General features: G+C 40.4%; 1 long non-coding RNA gene across 2 annotated transcripts in view; it reads left to right on the forward strand.

Annotated features, from left to right (window-relative positions):
- Positions 1 to 19570, forward strand: part of LOC102724744 (uncharacterized) — an 81680-nt gene extending 62110 nt beyond the window's left edge. The window contains exons 2-3 of one of the 2 annotated variants that reach the window (XR_923152.3): positions 3899 to 4041; positions 14219 to 19570. This is a non-coding gene — a long non-coding RNA (uncharacterized LOC102724744). Of the gene's footprint in view, positions 1 to 3894; positions 4042 to 14218 lie in introns of both variants that reach the window. The other variant, XR_923150.3, reaches the window with a different exon arrangement.
- Positions 19571 to 19967: the final 397 nt, after the last annotated feature.

Genomic DNA, 19967 nt, shown 5'->3' on the forward strand with positions numbered 1-19967 from the left:
TGAACTCCAAACCTGAGCACCAGCCTGTATATTTTATTATCTTTTCTTTTTTTTAAAGTTTCTTACAAACTAGTGAAACTTTGTTAGGAGCTGATGTTGGTTTCATACCTTCCTTCTCCAAACCCCTTCCTACCCTCCTAAGCTATTTATTCTGGATTTCATTTTTTGAAACTATACCACATCTTTCTTAGAAACTCTTTTTATTCCTATAATTTTAACATAATACATTTAATACATCTCATTCGCTGTCAAAGTTCTGTTCCTTGGAAATGGCTTCCTGTTTAAAATGCCCCTTCCTGATGTGTTACCAGTTTTATTCCATAGAGCGGAAGTTGGCCAGTCAACACTGTGATCCTTCAGGGCAGGGTAAATAATTCAGTGGTAATCCACTGTGGGATTTTTCTTTTTTTTTTTTTTTTTTTGAGACGGATTCTTGCTCTGTCGCCCAGGCTGGAGTGTAGTGGCACGATCTCGGCTCACTGCAACCTCCGCCTTCTGGGTTCATGCCATTCTCCTGCCTCAGCCTCCTGAGTAGCTGGTACTACAGGTGTCCACCACCACACCCAGCTAATTTTTTTAAATATTTTTAGCAGAGACGGGGTTTCACCGTGTTAGCCAGGATGGTCTCAATCTCCTGACCTGGTGATCCGCCCACCTCAGCCTCCCAAAGTGCTGGGATTACAGGCGTGAGCCACCTCGCCTGGCGCACTGTGTGATTTTTCAAGCCAGTGTCCTGAAAATCAAGGGTCTTGTTTTCACATCCAACTAATATGAAGGCTAAGGTTCACAAACTGGTATTTGAAACAACATTTCTCATCCTCCCAGCAATTCACAGCTTCAAGAATGTTTATCAGCTGCTGACATTGGGTGAGAGACCCAGTGGATGCCTTGCTTTAAAATCGTGAGGAGATAGTAAACACACATTGCCCTAACTGAGCCTTGGAATTCTTTGAGGAAAACTAAAAGTCAACAGCAGAAATTATCTGCACTACTAATTACACATCCGGGACTTGGGCGAAAGGTCTTATTGTGAGGAATTGTGAAACGTTGTGTCTACCAAGGTCAGCGCTGTCCTGACATAACTTGCTGGATACAATTATAAATGAATTAGATATGACAGCCTAAACCCTCTGTTAACTCCAAAGTCACAAAAGACTCTATACAATAAATGCACAACAGAATAGACACATGAAATCTGATGTTAAAATAAAAATATATGACTTTGTTTTGCTTGGCTCCTACCAAACTTAAAGCATTCTGTCCTTTCAGGAGGTTGTAGACAGCTTTTCTCTAGCGAAAGCCAGAAAATTCTCTCCTTTACTGCCTAGAAAAACTTTAATAACCAAGAACTGGCATAAAATCTGCCTTTACAAATCTCCATTTCTGGTACAGAGTGACAGGAAAATGAGCCCCAGCATTCAACCAATCCCCTTTGTGTATTAATAATCCTCAAACACGGCTGTGAAAAATTATGAAGCATGCCCAATTGTGGTGCACTTAGCTGCGTGTGATTGGTTTGTTTGCCTCCTGGTTCTTTGAGTATACTGATCTGCATGTCAATTTGGGAACAGGGTGAGAAGCTGTTGATTTTAGGGTAAAAAAGTTAAGAATATTTAATGGCTACATTTTTCTCAATTTATTCCCTTAAATCAATGAAACATAGAACTCAGTTTTTTTTCTTATGTAAAATCCATCTAAAGTAGTAAGAGGTAATGCTCACCAAATGCTTTCCATGCACCAGGTACCACACAGGGGTTTTGCATCCATTTATTCACTTACTCTCAATAACAGCCTTATGAGTTAGGTACACAGAGATATAAAAGGAACAGGGCCCTTTAAAAAATGGTGTCTTTGTCAGTTTTGTGTTGCTATAACAGAACGCCCAAAACTGAGTAATTTATAATGAACAGAAATATATTGGTTCATGGTTCTGGAGGCTGGGAAGTCCAAACTCCAAGACCAACGTTTGGTGAGGGCCTTCTTACTGTGTCATCTCATGGTAGAAGGTGGAAGGGCGAGAGAGAGAGAGAGCACCAAACTCCCCCTTTTATAGCAAACTCACTCCAGTGATAGTGATAGTGGCAATTCTCTCCACCCTCATGGCCTAATCACCTCTCATTAGGCCTCATCTCCCAACACAGCTACATTGGGGATTGTTTCCAGCACCAGCTTCTTGGGAAATACATTCAAACCATAGCAAATTGGTTCCTGGGAAATTAGCTTTTATATGAAAACCATCAAGAACAGCATGTATGTGCCTTGCACTAAATATTGCCTCCTGACTTAGCTTTGAGACAATGAAGAGCTGAATGTGCTTGCCATTTCAATCATTAATATGCTACAAAAGACTGTAGTTAATCAGAGCAGAGTGTCTCAAACATTAATATCTACCCAACTCACCTGGCAATCTTGTTAGAATGCAGATAATGTTTTCATGGGTCTGAAGTGGGGTCTGAGAATTTGCAGATCAAGCTGATGCCGCTTTGCCACTTCTCAGAGCACACATGAATTGTGGAGAACCAGAAAACAGACTTGATAGAACCACAAGACAGGAAGGGCAGCTACTGAGCATCTTCAAGATGACAGGGATAACTGCCCAAGGTTCACAAATGGCCAAGTGAGCTAACCCAGTGGATGGTTTAGGGCAGAACTAGGGTGAGGCATGACAGGCACCAGGGCACAAAATCCAAGGAAACCCCTGCTCTCAGGTACCCATCTGCCTGTGAGAGTGAGTGTCGTCTTCAATTGGTGTCATAGACATTTTGCTTGCCTTCCTCTAGTTCCTGTTCTGATTTGCTTATCAAATCAACCTCATCCAGATGAGAGATCTTACCTCATACTAAATTTTCCTGGTAATTCTGGGCTCAGGTGGCTCTGAGTCACAGACAGACAGAGAGGAGTGGGGCAGCCTGGATAGCACCCAAGACCCTCCTTCCCACGTTAGAGACACTGTCAGGTGAGATTACTAGATGGGCTCCAAGTGAGGTTCTGTGAGGATCCATACAGTGTGGATGCTGAAGCCATTCCATACTGTGCCCCAGAGAGTTATACTACTTATGTGGCATTCTCCCCAGGGAGCCTTGCATTATAGATTCTGGTTTTATTTGCTCAAAGTTATTCATTAGGCCGGGACATTCTGTTAATGGCATTTAATAAATAAAGTCTCTTCCTCCTAGCAGATATTGTTAGTCTCTTTCCCCATTTGTTTCATTGCCACAAAGCTCAGACCAGAGGCGTTCTACTGTTAAGCAAGTGAATGGATACAAGGCCAGCAGCTTCCACTCTTTCCTCCTGTCTCCTTGAGGCACAATTTTTACGTGTTCAATGATTTTTGGCTCACTTGGTAATAGTATTATCGGCAGTTTGCAGGAAGTTTGCATAATTCACACAACTCGTGTAAGTGGAGGAGTCAGGAGTAGTTCTCAGCAGTTGACTTCAGAGCCTATGTTTTTAATCCCACAATGGACTCCTTTAAAGTCTGTGCTGACCACAAACCCTCCTTCCTTCCCACACCTTTCTGGGTCTGTGAGCCTGGCCCATATGGATGGCATCAATGGGTTTCCTTGACCTCTAGCCTCTTGTCGACTTGGGTCAGTGGGGATGGGCAGAGGTCGAAGAGAGGAGAAGATGAGACTGGGCATTTATTCATCCTGATCCCCTCCTCCAGGGTCACCTCAGGCTGGACTCCATCCCTGGACTAGGTCACAGGTGCTCTCAGGTGGCCCTCTCTGTGAACTGGGTTTGAGTGATCCCTGTTTCTCTTGCCTCTTCAGTTCCAGAGGTGCCCAGGTCCTATGTTAACCCTTATGGTCTCCAACACCACACCCAAACCTTTACAATCATTTTATTAAACTTCCTTGAATGATGCAATCTGAGTGTGATGTCTGTTTTCAGCCAGGATTCCCCCAGTTGGACTCTCACATACCTGTGGACCTCAAGTGCTCCTTCATATGTGTTTTCAATGAACTTCATCCAAACCACATCAAATGGCTGTGTATAACACTAAGGAAATGTCATATTGTCTCCTAGTCCTCTACCATGGTAAGCTAAACTTTCATATTTTGAAATTTCTCCCTTATTTTTAATGAAATAAGCTGTATGTGTCCTATATTGCACATGAATCTTACTGTGTGGGATGTCACAGACAGTGACATTCAGGATATTTTGAGTCCTTTCTTCCTCTCAGCTCTCCTGGGACATAGATTAAAACTGTCATCTTCAATTAAGAGAGAAGCCAACTCCAGCAGAAAGCCCGACTTTCTCAAGGTCACTGCAAGTTGTTGACGAGGGCAACATCCAGGCTCTGGCTTCCTGCCTTCCCTATGGCTTTCTTAGACTTCTGCAGAAACCCAGAAGTGTGTCCATTTTCTGCCTGGTATGATTAGTCCATGGGATGAATTATATGGAAAACAAAAATAACTGGCATAAATATCCCTGATGAATATAGAGGCAAAAATCCTTAATAAAATACTAGCTAACCAAATCCAACCGCATATCAAAAAGATAATCCATTATGATCAAGTGGGTTTCATACCAGGGTTGCAGGGATGGTTTAACATATATAAGTCAGTAAATGTGACATGCCACATAAACAGAATTAAAAACAAAAATCACATGATTATATCAATAGACACGGAAAAAGCATTTGACAAAATCCATCATCCCTTTATAATTAAAACCCTCAGCAAAATCAGCATAGAAGGTACATACCTTAATGTAATAAAAGCCATCTATGACAAACCCACAGCCAACATAATACTGATTGAGGAAAAGCTGATTTCCATCACACTTTATTGAAGAACTGCAAATGGACTGAGGCAGCCCTAAATCTGAGCCTATTGTGGTTGCAGATGTTGTTGGAAATCGGTGACCACTCTGGGCAGCCTACTGGGGGCTCTTTAGGCAGCTCCTCCCCTCTCGTCACCCCAGCTCCTCTATTCCCACTATAATTAGAAATTTTTCATGGCCCCAGAATAGCAGCATGGAACTCTGCAATGTACCAATTCGTAAGTGCCATATTTACTACGTATTGGTAAATCACTCTGGATACTAATTGGATCTTAACTGTATCTGTTTGATTGTTTTTAATAGAAAAAAGTGAAGTTTATTCTTTAGGAAATAAGTTTACAACGGACCACATGTGTGATTGTAGACAAATTTGCTTTGAACATTTAAAAACAATAAGAAGGCATGACAGACTCCTTGAGCTGTCCTCAGAATGTATCTCAGGGACAGAATCAAGCAAGAGCTGTTTTAGGTTGACCCCTTGGGGTTGCCTGGGGATTGTTTACCTTTTTTCAGAGGCAATACAGGGCTGGAGTCCTACCCTGCTCTGATCCTTAAGAGACTCACACTCCCCCATCCCACTGTGTCCAGTAGGGTCTGCAGGTGAGTTTTCATCACATGTTTGTGTGCTCCTCCCTCTGCAGTTGACTTTGCACCTTTCTTCCTGTCCTGGACTGTCAGCAGGTGTTGTTGGAGGCTGGAGAGCTACTTGAGTCTCACTGAAGAATTTTCACTATAAATGAAGGCACTGCAGTCTCAGACTATGACAGCAATTGATACTGTCTGTTTCTACCATATGGAGACATTAAGATGTTTTACCAAGTATCATGGTATTTTAGCAGGCTCTGTAAATAAAATGCAAAATGCTGCAGCCCAGCCTCTTGTTTCTGCTGCTGGAGGCTGGGAAGAGAGACAAGGGCTGACATGGAGGATGTGAAATCTATAAAACTCTTTAAGCTTCACTTGGCTGAGGGTTGGTAGTCTCCTCCCTGGCCAAACTATCCGGAAGAATTGTAAACAAGAGATACATTTGCTTGATTTAAGTTTTACTTATCATTTTATTATGAAGAAATTTAACCGTATAGCAAAGTTGGAAGAATTTTACGGTGAACATCTGTGATATGGGCTGAATCATATTTTTATGTTAAAGTTGTAACCCCCGGTATCACATAATGTGACTGTATTTGGAGATGAGCTCTTTGAGTAGGTAGCCAAGTTACCATCATGTGTTAGGGTGGGCCCTCATCCAATCTGACTGGTGTCGTTATGAAGAAGAGGAGATTAGGACATCCACATGCATAGAGGGAATATCGTGTGAAGACACAGCAAAAAGGCAAAGAAAAAGGCCTTAGAAGAAACCAGCCCTGCCAACATCTTGATCATAGACTTTTAACCTCCAGAACTCTAAGTCAACAAATTTCTGTTGTTTAAGCCACTCAGTTTGTTATGGCAACCCCAGCAAACTCATGTGAGCCATGTGATGATATTGAACTGTAAATCCAAGGTATGTGTGTGAATCCGTTTCCTCCCCAGGAGGTTCCATGGCCCCCGTGTGCATTTGTCCACCCCATCCCAGGATCCTTTGAACTGAGTATGAAGCAGGGAAGCCTTTATAAACATGGAAGGAAGCCTGACTATGTTATTTCCCCTGGAACAAAAGGTGTCAATCTACACCCATCACCTAGATTGCACTGTCATTATCCTTGCTTTATTGTGTGTCTACTTACCACTCCATCCCTCTGTCATCCATCTTCCCACTTGGTTTAAATTTACATAAGCCCAGAAGCATGTTAGCTGGAAAAGTCATTCTGACCTGAGAATAAGCCCCTGATAGCCCTCTCTATCCCAAGGATTTCAGGCTAATCTGGTCACTGAAGTTATTCAAGGTGGAGCCTCAAATAGAACTTCAGAGAGAAGTGGTCTCATTGCAGTCTGCTGCTGATAATCTTCACAGATATGGGTAGACAAGCTTCTGGAACCTTGGCTCAGTACTACCATGTGAATTTTAGGGCACTGCTCTTGTTAGAAGTGAACCCCTCTTCAACAGCTATACTGAACTGCCAAGGACAGGCGCCTGTGGCCCTCCAGGGAAGATACTGGAGGGAGAGATTCCTTTCATTTTTGTCTTTTGAAAGAGACTCAGTTTGTCCTTCTTGTGATCTTTTTCTTAATCATTCATGCTTGACACTATGTACTCATCATTGATATCAGTGATAATTGTGCATTTCTGATGCACAAGTAATTTAAACAGATTAATAAAAACAATAACTTTTTTCTTTTTTTTGATCGAGAGGGTCTAAATTCTAATGCTGTGCCTCACTGATCTCTCTTTGAAAATTCCTGTGGTACCTATCATCCATATCACTGATCTTGGCCCTTCCAGTCCACTCAGTGTCACTCCACTTTTAATTTGATCTGACTGTTGGTTGCAAACTCTTAGAAGGCCCATCCAGTCTAAAACATACTACTTGTTCCTGCCCCATCCATCCAAGGTCCCTCCCGGTGTACATACTAGGTCCTTACTAAACATGTTTTGAATGAAGGGCCTGATGGAAGCATTTCCATCTATCTTTTGTGGGAACCAATACCCAAAGCTTCACTGATCTCCTGCTAGTCTATCTGTCAGAGATCATGGCTCTGGGATCCCTGTAGGAGACAGACACAGAGTGAAATGATCCTCATGAGTTAAACAGGCAGGTGACTGCAGTCAGTTGATGCCTCTGTGACCAAAGCTTTTCCTCTTATTAATCATTGTCTCCACTGCTCTGCCCATCTAAAGTCTCCCTTCAAGGTCTAGCCGGACACTTGTGTCTCTAAAGCCTTCCCTGAATACTCCATCCAAAGTAGTACATGGTGGCAAAGAACAACCAGCCAGTTTCTGATAATATATCTAATAAATATGATATATAAATACATATATGTACACACACATATATATATATACACATATGTAATATGCTTTTTTACCTTCAACATTTTTACATTTGGCAGTTTGGTTTCAAGTATAGTATAATGTTATTGTTAGTAGTATAACAGATATGCCCCCATCACAGGTAGAGGGTACACATTAGGTCGCATTACTTTTATTAATCAAATTTAACTCCTAGGAGCCCCCATTCTGCCAAACCCAAGAAAGCATTTTGCTTCTTTGACTTCCTGGGTGATAAATTAATCCAGGATGTCAGTTCTTGTGTTTAGTGCCTTCTAGAAAGCTGGAAAATCCACTAAAGCAGAATCTCTTAAGCTTCCATGTGCATGTAAAGCCTCTGCAGACCTTATTGAAATGCAGGTTCTGATTTGGTGGGAAGGAGGCCCAAGACTCCACATATCTGATGACCTCCCTGGAGATCCCTGCACTGCCACTTTGTACACCACATTCAGAGCAGCAAGGCAAGAGGAGGTCCTATCATGGCAGGCTGGGCCCTTGTTCATTGCTGAGCTGTGTATATCTGGTCCCCCAAGCCCTGTTGTATCCCAGGGTCCTACCTGCTCGTGGTGGGATTTACTCAGGTGGCTGAAGGCTGCACTGCTGTCACTGGTGTGTCAGCGACAGACATCTCAAGGCTCCCTCTAAAGAAAGTCTCTTGCATACAGTACTATGGTCACTCTGTAACTCCGAGGACTCAACCCCCCACCAGTACAGCTTTGTACACACACACACACACACACACACACACACACACACACACACACTTCCCCCAGGAAAGCTCATAGTGTTAGCATTTCCAACATGACCACATGCTGTAAACAGAATGAGTCTTCTCCCTTCACACTCTAAACCCGAAAGTAGAGCCTGGGACTATTATAGGCTTTTCTTTCTCTTGTGCTGTAAGTGACTTTCAGGTCCCTGATGTCCTTGATTGCCAGGTTTCTTATATGAAATCATCCGTGTTCTTCAGAGGTGTGGTGATGATATTGAAGGTGTGTGTGTGTGAATTCCTCTCCTCCCCAGGAGGTTCCATGGCCCCTGTGTGCATTTGTCCACCCCATCCCAAGAACCTTTGAACTAAATATGAAGCAGGGAAGCCTTTATAAACATGGAAGGAAGCCTGATTATGTTATTTCCCTTGGAACAAAAGGTGCCAATCTACTCTCTCTGTATGTATGTTACAGGAATCACACACACTCACACTAAAGGCCACAGGTAGAATTCCTCTCGAGCTGCACTGTAGAATTTGGTGGTTAGGGTTACATGCAGAAGTGTGGCTAGTCTAAATTGAGATGAGTTGTGTGGACCCAAAAAATCTGAGACAGGTCTCAGTTAATTTAGAAAGTTTATTTTGCCAAGGTTGAAGTTGCGCGCCCGTGACACAGCCTCAGGAAGTCCTGAGGACATGTGCCCAAGGTGGTCAGGGCACAGCTTGTGTTTATACATTTTAGGGAGACAGGAGACATCAATAAATTTATGTAAGAAGTACATTGGTTCAGTCTGGAAAAGTGGGACCAATCGAAGCAAAGGCAGGAAGACACCAAGCGGGGAGGGGGCTTCCAGGTCACAGATACATGAGAGACAAATGGTTGCATTCTTTTGAGTTTCTGATTAGCCTTTCCAAAGGAGGCAATCAGATATGCATTTATCTCAGTGAGCAGAGGGATAACTTTGAATAGAACGGGAGGCGGGTTTGCCCTAAGCAGTTCCCAGCTCTACTTTTCCATTTAGCTTAGTGATTTTGGGGGCCCAAGATATTTTCCTTTCACAGTTGTAACTGTAAAATACGTGCAGAATTTCAAAGAATTTAGTAAAACAATTAAAATAAAGATTAAAAAAGAATATATCTCATTGATAGTGTTCATATTGGTTATATGTTGATGGAGTGGAGGGGATAAAAACTTTTCTTCTATCCTCTCAGATTCAGTGCCTGGGATGAGCAAATTCTACTGGAAAAAGAAAGATTAACATGAGAAAAGGCACATACGTTTTTATTGATGTTAATATTTTTATGTGCACAAGTACTGCACAGAAAAGTATAAACCCCAGAAAGCTGTTAGACTTGGGGGCTTAGATACCTTTTTTTTTTTTTTGAAACGGAGTTTCGCTCTTGTTGCCCAGCCTGGAGTGCAATGGTGCAATCTTGGCTCACCGCAACCTCCGCCTCCTGGGTTCAAGTGATTCTCCTGTCTTAGCCTCCAGAGTAGCTGGGATTACAGGCATGCGCCACCACGCTCAGCTAATTTTGTATTTTTAGTAGAGACGGGGTTTCTTCATGTTGGTCGGGCTGGTCTTGAACTTCCAACCTCAGGTGATCCGCCCACCTCAGCCTCTCAAAGTGCCAGGATTACAGGCGTGAGCCACCGCGCCTGGTTGATACCTTTTTAACAATGGGTTATTGATTGAGGAGAGGTGACTGGACAAAGGAAAGAGTTGAGGCTTCCAGGGCTAATAAGTGATGAGGAAATCTATAGGGGGAACAAATGGAAGGTAGGGTTATTTTAGTAAGGTTTAATCGGTGCTGGCTCCTCGTATCCAGTGATAAGGGTCACCCTCTTCATTGTAGTCCAGGAGAGAAGGGAAACCTACGCTCTGATTTTAGGCAGAAAAGGAGAGGGCAGAGAGTTCATCTTGCTCCTGCCGTTTCTCAGTTGCCATCAGCTCAACATAATCAATATGCCACAGTAGCACATTTTTGGGTGGCATATCCTAATCCTCTTCATTGAAATGACAATATTTTGAATGCTTCAGATTAAATAAAATGCCTCATGAAAATTGATTTCACCTGTTTCTCTTTATTTTTTAATGAGGCTAATAGAAAATTTTAAATTACATATGCAGCTCACATTCCATTTCCATTGGACAGAGCTGCTCTAGGGAGAAAACAGTTATTTGTTAAGCAAATTATTTTGGACCCTTGGAAAGGGAGAAAATAGTCCACAGAGTAAGGCATGAAAAGAAAGGAGGAAAACCATAGAGCTGGAGATAGGAGCTTGAATTGGCAGAAAGAGCAGAGGACGCTTGTTAAAAGCAGGAAATCCAAATATTCATTTACTTTGTTTTCAAGTTAGTGATGTAAACCCTCTTTGTCCCTCTTGAATTTCAGGAAAATCTGCGCAGAGGCTTTCAAGGAAAATAAAGGGTAAGAGTCTAGTTCAGCTCTCTCTGGTGTGAAGTGGGGTTATAAAGCCCCAGATTGTTAAGTAGTGAGTGGCAATTTGTCAGAAGCAGAAAAGTCCAAATCAGAAGCCTGTACGCACAATGAGAGCCTCCAGAAAAATGCAGAATTCTTAGGGAGACAATTGAAATCATTAAGAAGCCATGGAATGGGCTTGTGTGTCTTGCAAGTGGGGCAGCCTTACAAAAGGGGTCACCCAGATGTCATTTTCTGGACAGTAGAGGCTCTATCAATGAACACAGCGTAGTTTCCAGCACTTTCTTATGAAAATTTGCAAACAGTCATCAAAGTTGAGATAATGTTATAATAAGCACCCATATACTCACTACCTAGTTCTATCGTTAACATTTTACTCTCTCTCTCCCTCTCTCTCTCTATATATATATATTTAATTGGCCAAGTGTGGTGAGTCATGCCTGTAATCCCAGCACTTTGGGAGGTGGAGGCAAGGGGATCACTTGAGCCAAGGAGTTTGAAACCAACCCTGGAAACATAGAAAGCCCTCATTTATACAAAAAATAAGAAAAATAGGCATGGTGGCATGTGCCTGTAGTTCCAGCTACTTGGGAGGCTGAGGTGGGAGGACTTTTTGAGCCCAGGAGTTCGAGGCTGCAGTAGGCCATGATTGTGCCACTGCACTCCATCCTGGGCAACAGAGTGAGACCCTATCTCAAAAAAAAAAAAAAAAAATTACACATCTATTTCTTTATCAAATCCCCCATTTATTCATAATTCCTCTTATTTTTGATACATTTTGAAGTAAATTCCATACATCAGTATACATCCTTCTAAATAGTGTGTGGCTGGGTGCAGTGGCTCACGTTTGTAATCCCAGCACTTCGGGAGGCCAAGGCTGGTCGATCATCTGAGGTCGGGAGTTTGAGACCAGTCTGGCCAACATGGTGAAACCCCATCTCTACTAAAAATCCAAAAATTAGCTGGGCATGGTGGTGGATGCTTATAATCCCAGCTACTTGGGAGGCTGAGGCAGGAGAATTGCTTGAAACCCGGGAGGCAGATGTTGAGAAGTAGCAGGACTGTGCCATTGCATTCCAGCCTGGGCAACAAGAGTGAAACTCTGTCTCAAAAAATTAAAATAAAACAAAAATACTGTAGTGTGCATATTGCAGGGGATCAAGGTATGCCTCCACAAAATATGCCACTTTGGCCTAAGGATTATTTTGAGCCATAGACAATTGAGAATCAATGGATGCAGGAAGAGTTCTCTTTCTTCCCCTTTTTTGCCTAAAAGAAGGGCATAAATTTCCCTTTGTGAGGTGTTTCTCTGTCCTATACAAGAAAGATGAGAGCAACTCATCACCAGAGACAGAGTTGGCATCAACGGGTTTACATAAACAGACCAAAGGAAAATAACATTCAGCTTCCATTAATTTCTCACATAGGTTGGTGTAAAGGTAATGCAGTTTCTGCCAAAGTAATGACAAAACTGCGATAAATTTTGCACCAACCTAATATTTCCTGTCACTTTCCCATAATTTATCACTCCTAGAAGCTCAAACCTTTTTTCCTTTGTTAAAATGATTAAAATGGTATGTAAGCCCCAAGTCTAACTGCTTCTTTGAGTTTCACTTCTTTTCTGTGAACTCCCATGTGTGTAAAACATTAAAACATTTTGTGTTTCTGTCCATCTGTCTTTTTACATTCTTTGTTGTTATTGTTGTTTTGTTGTTGAGACAGAGTCTTGCTCTGTTGCTCAGGCTGGAGTGCTATGGCACGATCTAGGCTCACTGCAACCTCCGCCTCCTGGGTTCTACCAATTCTCCTGCCTCAGCCTCCCAAGTAGCTGGGATTACAGGCACGTGCCACCATGCCAGGCTAATTTTTGTATTTTTAGTACAGACGAGGTTTCTCCATGTTGGCCAGGCTGGTCTCAAACTCCTGACCTCAAGTGATCCACCCACCTTGGCCTCTCAAAATGCTGGGATTACAGACATGAGCCACCATGTCCGGCCAATCTGTCTTTTTTCAGTTAAATTTACAGCCACTGTAAATTTTAAAAAGCAACCACTCTTCTGATTTTTTTCCCACCGTAGGTTAGTTTTGCCCTTTCTTGAAATTCATGTAAATGGAATCCTACTGTGTGTACTCTTTTGATAAGGCTTCTTTTACTCAGCATGATATTTTGAGATTCATCCATGTTGTTGCAAAGCACAGCATTCAAAGGCTTTCCTCACTCAAGCAAGCCAAAACAATTTTATTTCTACTGGACTAAGCATTCAGTATGAAGCTTAACATAAAGACATAGACCATCATCATAGTTCTTCTTACCCAATATTATCTTTCCGATATTGATAATAGTAGAAAGAAATATCTGTGGACACCATAGTATCACTTCAAATGTTCATGAAGAACAACAATACTAAAACACTGTGTCTTCCTTTTGAGGACATTTGATAAATTCCTCAACCATAAATAGATCATAATGCTTCATTAATTTAGTGGATTCATTTCTTTTCTGATTTTTTTATTGCAGTAATATGCACATAACTTAAAGTTTACCACTGTAACCATTTTTAAGTGTACAGTTCAGTAGTATTAAGTACAGTTAAAGATTGTTATATAACTATCACCATCATTTATCTCTAGAACTTCATCTTCCCAAATCAAAATTATGTACCCATTAAACAATAACCCCATCCCCCATTCCTCTAGCCCCTTAAAACCACCATTCTACTTTCTGTATCTATGATTTTGACTACTCTATTTGCCTCATGCAAGTGGAATAATGCAGTAGTTGTCTTTTTTTCACTGGTTTATGTCACTGAGCATAATATGCTCAAGGCTCATTCATGCTGTAGTGTGTGTTGGAATTTCCTTTCTTCTTAAGGCTAACTGATAAGGAGAGACTTACTTTTGTCATTTTGCTATTTGTTTTCTACATGGCTTATAGCTTTTCTGTCTTTCCTTTCTTGCATTACTGTCCTCTTTTGTGTTTAATTTTTTATAGTGAAATGTTTAAATTCCTTTCTTATTTTTTGTGTGTATTCTATAGCTATTTTCTTTGTGGTTACTATTGAGATTATCTTTAATATCATAAAGTTATAATGCTCTAATTTGTATTTAAACCAGCTTAACTTCAATAACATATGAAAACACTGCTTCTTTACATCTCTGCCTCTACCCTTTCAGTCGTTAATGTACCATAATTACATCTGCATACTTTGTATGTTCAACAACATAAACCAATTGTTTTTAAAAGTGAATTAGTTTCTTAGATTATGTATGAAACAAAATGTGGTTACAACCCAAAGTTACAGTAATTCTAGCTTTTAGACTAATCATTTCTTATTTTGTTTTTTAAATAGTCTTTTACACACACTGAAGATCATGTGAAGAAAGAGAGAAGATGGTCATCTATACACCAAGTTAAACGACCCTCAGAAGAAACCAACCCTATGGACAACTTGATCTTGAACTTCTAGCTTTCAGACCTGTGAGAAAATAAATTGCTGTTGTTTAAATTTAAAAAAACAGTCTTTTAAATCATGTATGAAACAAAGTGTTGTTACAAACCATTGTTATAATAGTACTAGCTTTTGTAATTGCCTATTTGTCCATCTTTACTGAGATCTTTATTTCTTCATATGGCTTTGAGTTACTGAGTAGTGTCCTTTTATTTCAACCTGAAGAACTCCCTTGAGTGTTTCTCTTAGGGTATGTCTAGAAGTAACAGATTACCTTAGCTTTCGTTAATCTGGGAATGTTGTAATTCTCCTTCACTTTTGAAGGACAATTTTTACCAAATATAGAATTTGGGGTTGATATTTTTATTTATTTTAGCACTTTGAATATATCAGCCCACTGCCTTTTGGTCTCCAGTATTTATGATGAGACTCTCTTTTTTTAATCTCATAATTTACTATTTATTATTTTTAAATGTTTCTAGAGATATACAGTAATTAAACATATTTGTGGGATACACATGATATTTTGATACAAGAATATACAATGTGTAAGCTGTATATTCAATATACAATCAGTGATCAAATCAGGATATTTATTAGGATATACATCAACTTGAACATTTATCATTTCTTTGTGTTGGGAGTATTTTAAATCTTCTTTACTAGCTTTCATGAAATATAAAATATTGTTAACTAGTCATTCCACTGTGTTATCAAACACTAGAACTTATTCCCCCATCTGCACTATATCTTTGAACCTATAATCTTATTGATGATCTTTTTATGTGATGAATCACTTTTCTATTGCAACTTTCAAGACTCTGTGTTTGGCTTTTGACAGTTTGATTATATTGTGTCTCAGTGTGGATCTTTTTGAGTTCATCCTACTTGGAGTTACTGAGTTTCTTGAATATTTTTACTTATGTCTTTTATCAAATTTGTAAAGACTTTGGCCATCAATTCTCTTAATAATCTATCTTTCCTGTTTTCTCTTCTGTTTCTTAGCCTACCACCACACGTGTTGTTCTGCTCAACAGTGTTCCAGAAGTCCCTTAAGCTCTGTTCACTTTTCTTCAATCATTTTACTTTCTGTTCCTCAGATTCAATGATTTCCTTTGTCCTATTTCAAATTTGTTGATTCTTCTTCGTTCTCAAATCAGCCTTTGAATCTCTCTAGTGAATTTTTTATTTCAGTTATAACACTTTTTAGCATCAAATTTATTGTTTCTTCATAGGTTTTCTATATGTTTGCAAATATTTCTATTTTGTCCTTATGTCATTTTCTTGGCTTTTTCTGCATCTTTTGTTAGCTCTTTCAGTATCTTTAAGATAATTGTTTTTGTTTAGTAGATCTGACATCAGGTCTTTTTCAGGAGCTGCTTCTTTTTTTCCCATTAAAATGGGCCACACATTCCTTTTCTTTTGTATGTCTCTTGATTTTTTTTGTTAAAAATGGACATTTGAAGCTAATGATTTGATAACACTGGAAATTAGGTTCTCTCCCTTCCCTGGGGTTTACTGGGCTTTTGTTTTTGGTTTTGTTTTTTTGTTGTTGTTGTTGCTTACTGTTTTTGTTTTTTTAATTGTTGTAGGCTGTCTCAGTGCTGAGGGTTAGCCTGAGCTTAAGGTTAGGCTAACCTGACCTTAAGGTAAACTTAAGGTCTTCTCAGGTCTTTCTGAGCCTGTGCCTTTCCCTGGGCATACATAGTCACCTTCCAATATCCCCCATATATGCAGTCACTTCGGAATGTCCCAGTCTCTAATGGATGGCTCCCAAAAGGGGAAAAGATAAAAATTAAGGAGAAGAAAAAGAATGCTGGGTTTTTAAGTACCCTGGAAGTCACCTCAGCGAGAGAGGGGCTAGCAATAATGAGGGTGGGGCAATAGCAATGGCCACCTGCCTCTTTGTCTGTACTTCTGTGATGAGAAGCAGCAATTAATAATCACAGCACAAATACTTGGAGGACTGGGTCCTTATTGCCCACCCTGGCTCCCACAAGCTGTATGCAGTCTTCTTCAGGTCATGGGCACAGCTGCCTGCCACAGGGCTGGGGCGGTCAATAGGTAGTTACTACTGTGCTGAGTCTAAGTTGACCAAAACTAACTGAAATTTACTTCTAAGACATTCCCTGGAAGTTGCAAGCCTTCAATAGACTCCAGAATTCCAAAATAGTTACATCAGGCAGATTCTGCCAGTGCAGTTGTTGTCTGGATGGGTAAACAGATTCCTGGAGCTTCCTATTTCAGCATCTTGCCAGAATCTTCTCCCTATGTGTATTTATTTTATCACATCTTGAGATAGTTTTTGTTTCAGAACTTTGCTATCCACTATGCTGAGTAGAACTTCAAGAGCTGTCCCTGTGTCTAATAGACTAGAAGTGGTAGATTTCAGCCTGGGAGTACACACTGCGGTCACAACCATCCATATGGCAGGAAGTAGTCTACTGAGTTTTTGGCGGCCATGATTCTTTGGCATTTCTGGTTTGGTGGTCGTTGATTCCTAAATATTAAAGTGGTTCCCAGCATGTATCAGTTGTTTGTTTGCTAAATGACCTTAAATGTTCTGATACTTGCAGAAATGAAAAAAGCTAGTTTCTCTGTCAATAAGACTCTGATCTGAATGTGAATAAATATGCATGAGCAGTAACTTAATGCACATCTGGAAAATATGCTTTGTTAGAAATCTATCACTATTTTTTTTAATTTGGAGAGTTTTTCTCAAGAACAATAGAATGTAATAAAATTTAAGGAAGTGCATTTTACAAAAAGTATCAAAGACTTTATTAAACATCAACTCTTTACTTGAAGAAATAATGTTGTTTAAAAAAATCAATCTTGTGAATTGTCTCCTGGGAAGTTTGTCAGTGATTTCTTTCTTTCTTGTTCTTTTTTGTCCTTATATAAAGTAACCAAGCTTTATTCCTATAAGCTGTAAATTTTAACAGAAAGCAGATTCACATGTATTTATTAACATTCCTAAATTCTCAACACCACTTATTAATCCCTTAAAAACGATTGCTTCTTTATATGAAGATAATGGTAGTCATAAAGACATACATTATAGTTTCATTATGATGTTTGTGCTTTGTCTCAAGTTTCTTCTGAAATGCCTCCACTGAGTTAGGTGATAATGACAGCACTCAGACACACAGCCCAGAGGAAGGGGACAAAGGAATCCCAGGAAAGAAGTAGGAAAAGGTATTTGGTTAGAATTTAAAGTCAAGTGGAGGAATCAGTGAACCAGAAAACAGACAGGGGAGGCTGCTTGTTCATCTGGAGCTTACAGCAGCAGCAGGAGTTGGAATTCACAAAGCAAATGGCTGAGATGGGGGTGCCGGAGCACAGGAGTGACAGACCAGGGTAGGATGCAGCAGCCTCTACTCTGGGAAGAGGGTCCCAGCCACTACTGGGCACCATCTCCTTTTGAGGGGTGGACCCACGCAGCATTTAAGGAGGAAGCCCAGTAGATCTGGTTAATTAACGTGGTAATGGGACTCCCTAGAATTTAAGTCCAAAGCATGGTGTGATTTTCTTTGTTGAGCTACCACATATTGAAGTTCAGGAAAGAAACCACCCAGTTGATATAGCAATAGTATACAAAACCTGCTGGATTATGAGAAATTTCCAACATTCTTTATTATGTAAGCAAACACTTTTAATGCTTAACTGTGATAGGTTTGGAACTTTTTTTTCCAAGTTGTTACACAGAAGGAAAGCAAGAAAGAAAGCATGAAGGCCAATTAGAAGGATCATTCAATATTTCTCAGAAAAGAGAATGATGGCTTAGACCAGTGGTGATGTTCAAAATCTTACAAAGGTAGAAGACTAGCAACATTTGTGACTGAATTGGATAAGGAAGTGTGTGAGAGAGAGGAGCCAAAGGTGACTTGATTCTTCCTTTTCTGGGCAAATGGAGGAAGGGAGATTGTATTTATGAAGATGGAGGTCTGTGGGAGGTTTTGTGGGGAAAGATTGGGGGAGTTCAATTTTGGACATGTTAACTTTGAGATCTCTGTTAGATGTAGAGATCTACAAGTCTTTACAAGTAGAGATGTCAAGAAAGCATTTGGATATAAAACCCTAGAATCCAAAAGGTAAAGAATTGGTTTGGTAGTTGTTGGTATGTAGATAGAATTTCAAGCTATGAGACTGGATTTGAGCATCTGAAAAAATACTCAATATCTGAAATGTCTGTTAAGTAGATCCAGAAAAAATGAAAGGACGTATTAACTAAAACATCAGTATTCAAGGAACAATAAAGATAGAATTTATAACTGGGCTTCTGAGAGAGGTGGACAGATTTACAGAAGACTGAAGCTGGGAAACACCTAACCCCAGCTAAGACACACCATGATTGTCTAATTTATGCCTGTACCCCGAATAGGTGTCAGAGTGCCTGAAACATCATAGATGGCCATTCAATATCTGACAAATGATAAATGAATGGATGAATAAATGAAGGAAAGAAAGCTTGGTGGAAGGGCAGTCAGGCTTCCTGGAGATGGGGCTGGGCTGCGGGGGGTACTATGTAGCAATTGGGTGTCCCTGGGTCTTCCCACACTGGCTGTTTTCTTGGTTATGTATGACTATTCCTTAGGCTATGACTCTTTGACTTTCTTGCCTGTGGTATGAAAATTACGCTTACTATCTACCTTTTCTTTTACAATAGGGATTCACGGATGAGTGCTTAGGAATCACTAGGCTGAGAAAGGGAAGGGTGAATAAACCAGAAACCCCCTAGAGAAGCTCAGGGAAAGTCATTATTGTAGGGTTTACTACAGTCACATTCTTTTATCTTGCAGCACAAGTTCTTGGCATAGAATACCAATGAGCTGAGGCACATTACTAATTTGCCAGATCGACATAGCCTCTAGGGAGAAAAGCAAAAAAGCATTCCTATTAACTTCAGCATTGGGATAATTTGAATCTCTCTTCTAAGACATCTTGTCTCTTTTTTGGTTAATTACTGTGGCAAACCTTATTTTCTCTTTAAATTAAGCCATGAGATGCCTTTAATTCAACTAGGCTGCTACTAAAATGTGGTTTTCATGGGAAGGAATTAGGAGTCTTTCTTTTGAGAAAAAACATATATCATGTTGACTGTTGTCTCTTTGCCACTGATGTTGGAGAGGATGACCTTATGTCACTAGCCCACACCTGTGGAATAAGACGCTCATTTACAAACCTGCTCCGAAGAAGAAGGTAAGGATGCTGTTCCTGCACAGTCATGAACGGCTGCTGTTCCTCTTGAAAACCACAACCTCTTTCTCTAGTAGCATGAAGTGAGTGCTGTTTGGGAATCTCTTTTAACTTAGAGAGCTCTCAGGCACAGTATTGGCCTGGGCAGATTTCTGTGGTTGCTGCTCAGCAAAGAATAGACAGGTCTCACACTTGTGGAGCAAGCATTGTATGATGGCTGCCTCCCAAGCACTTTATCCAGGTCCACTCATCAAACACCACAACCCAAAAGATTGGGGCTATGAATATACCCTCACTGTAATAAAAACAAGAGAATAAGGGAGTTTCAGCAATTTACCAGCTGACATGCTGCTAGTGGGGAGTAGGACTGGACCATAATCTTACCATCACTGCAGTTTTGTCCTTCCATGATCTCTAATTGAACGGTTCATTTGTTCTGTCATTTCAACTG

The sequence above is a fragment of the Homo sapiens genome, chromosome 2 (genome assembly GCF_000001405.40).
Source record: "Homo sapiens chromosome 2, GRCh38.p14 Primary Assembly".
NCBI lineage: Eukaryota > Metazoa > Chordata > Mammalia > Primates > Hominidae > Homo > Homo sapiens.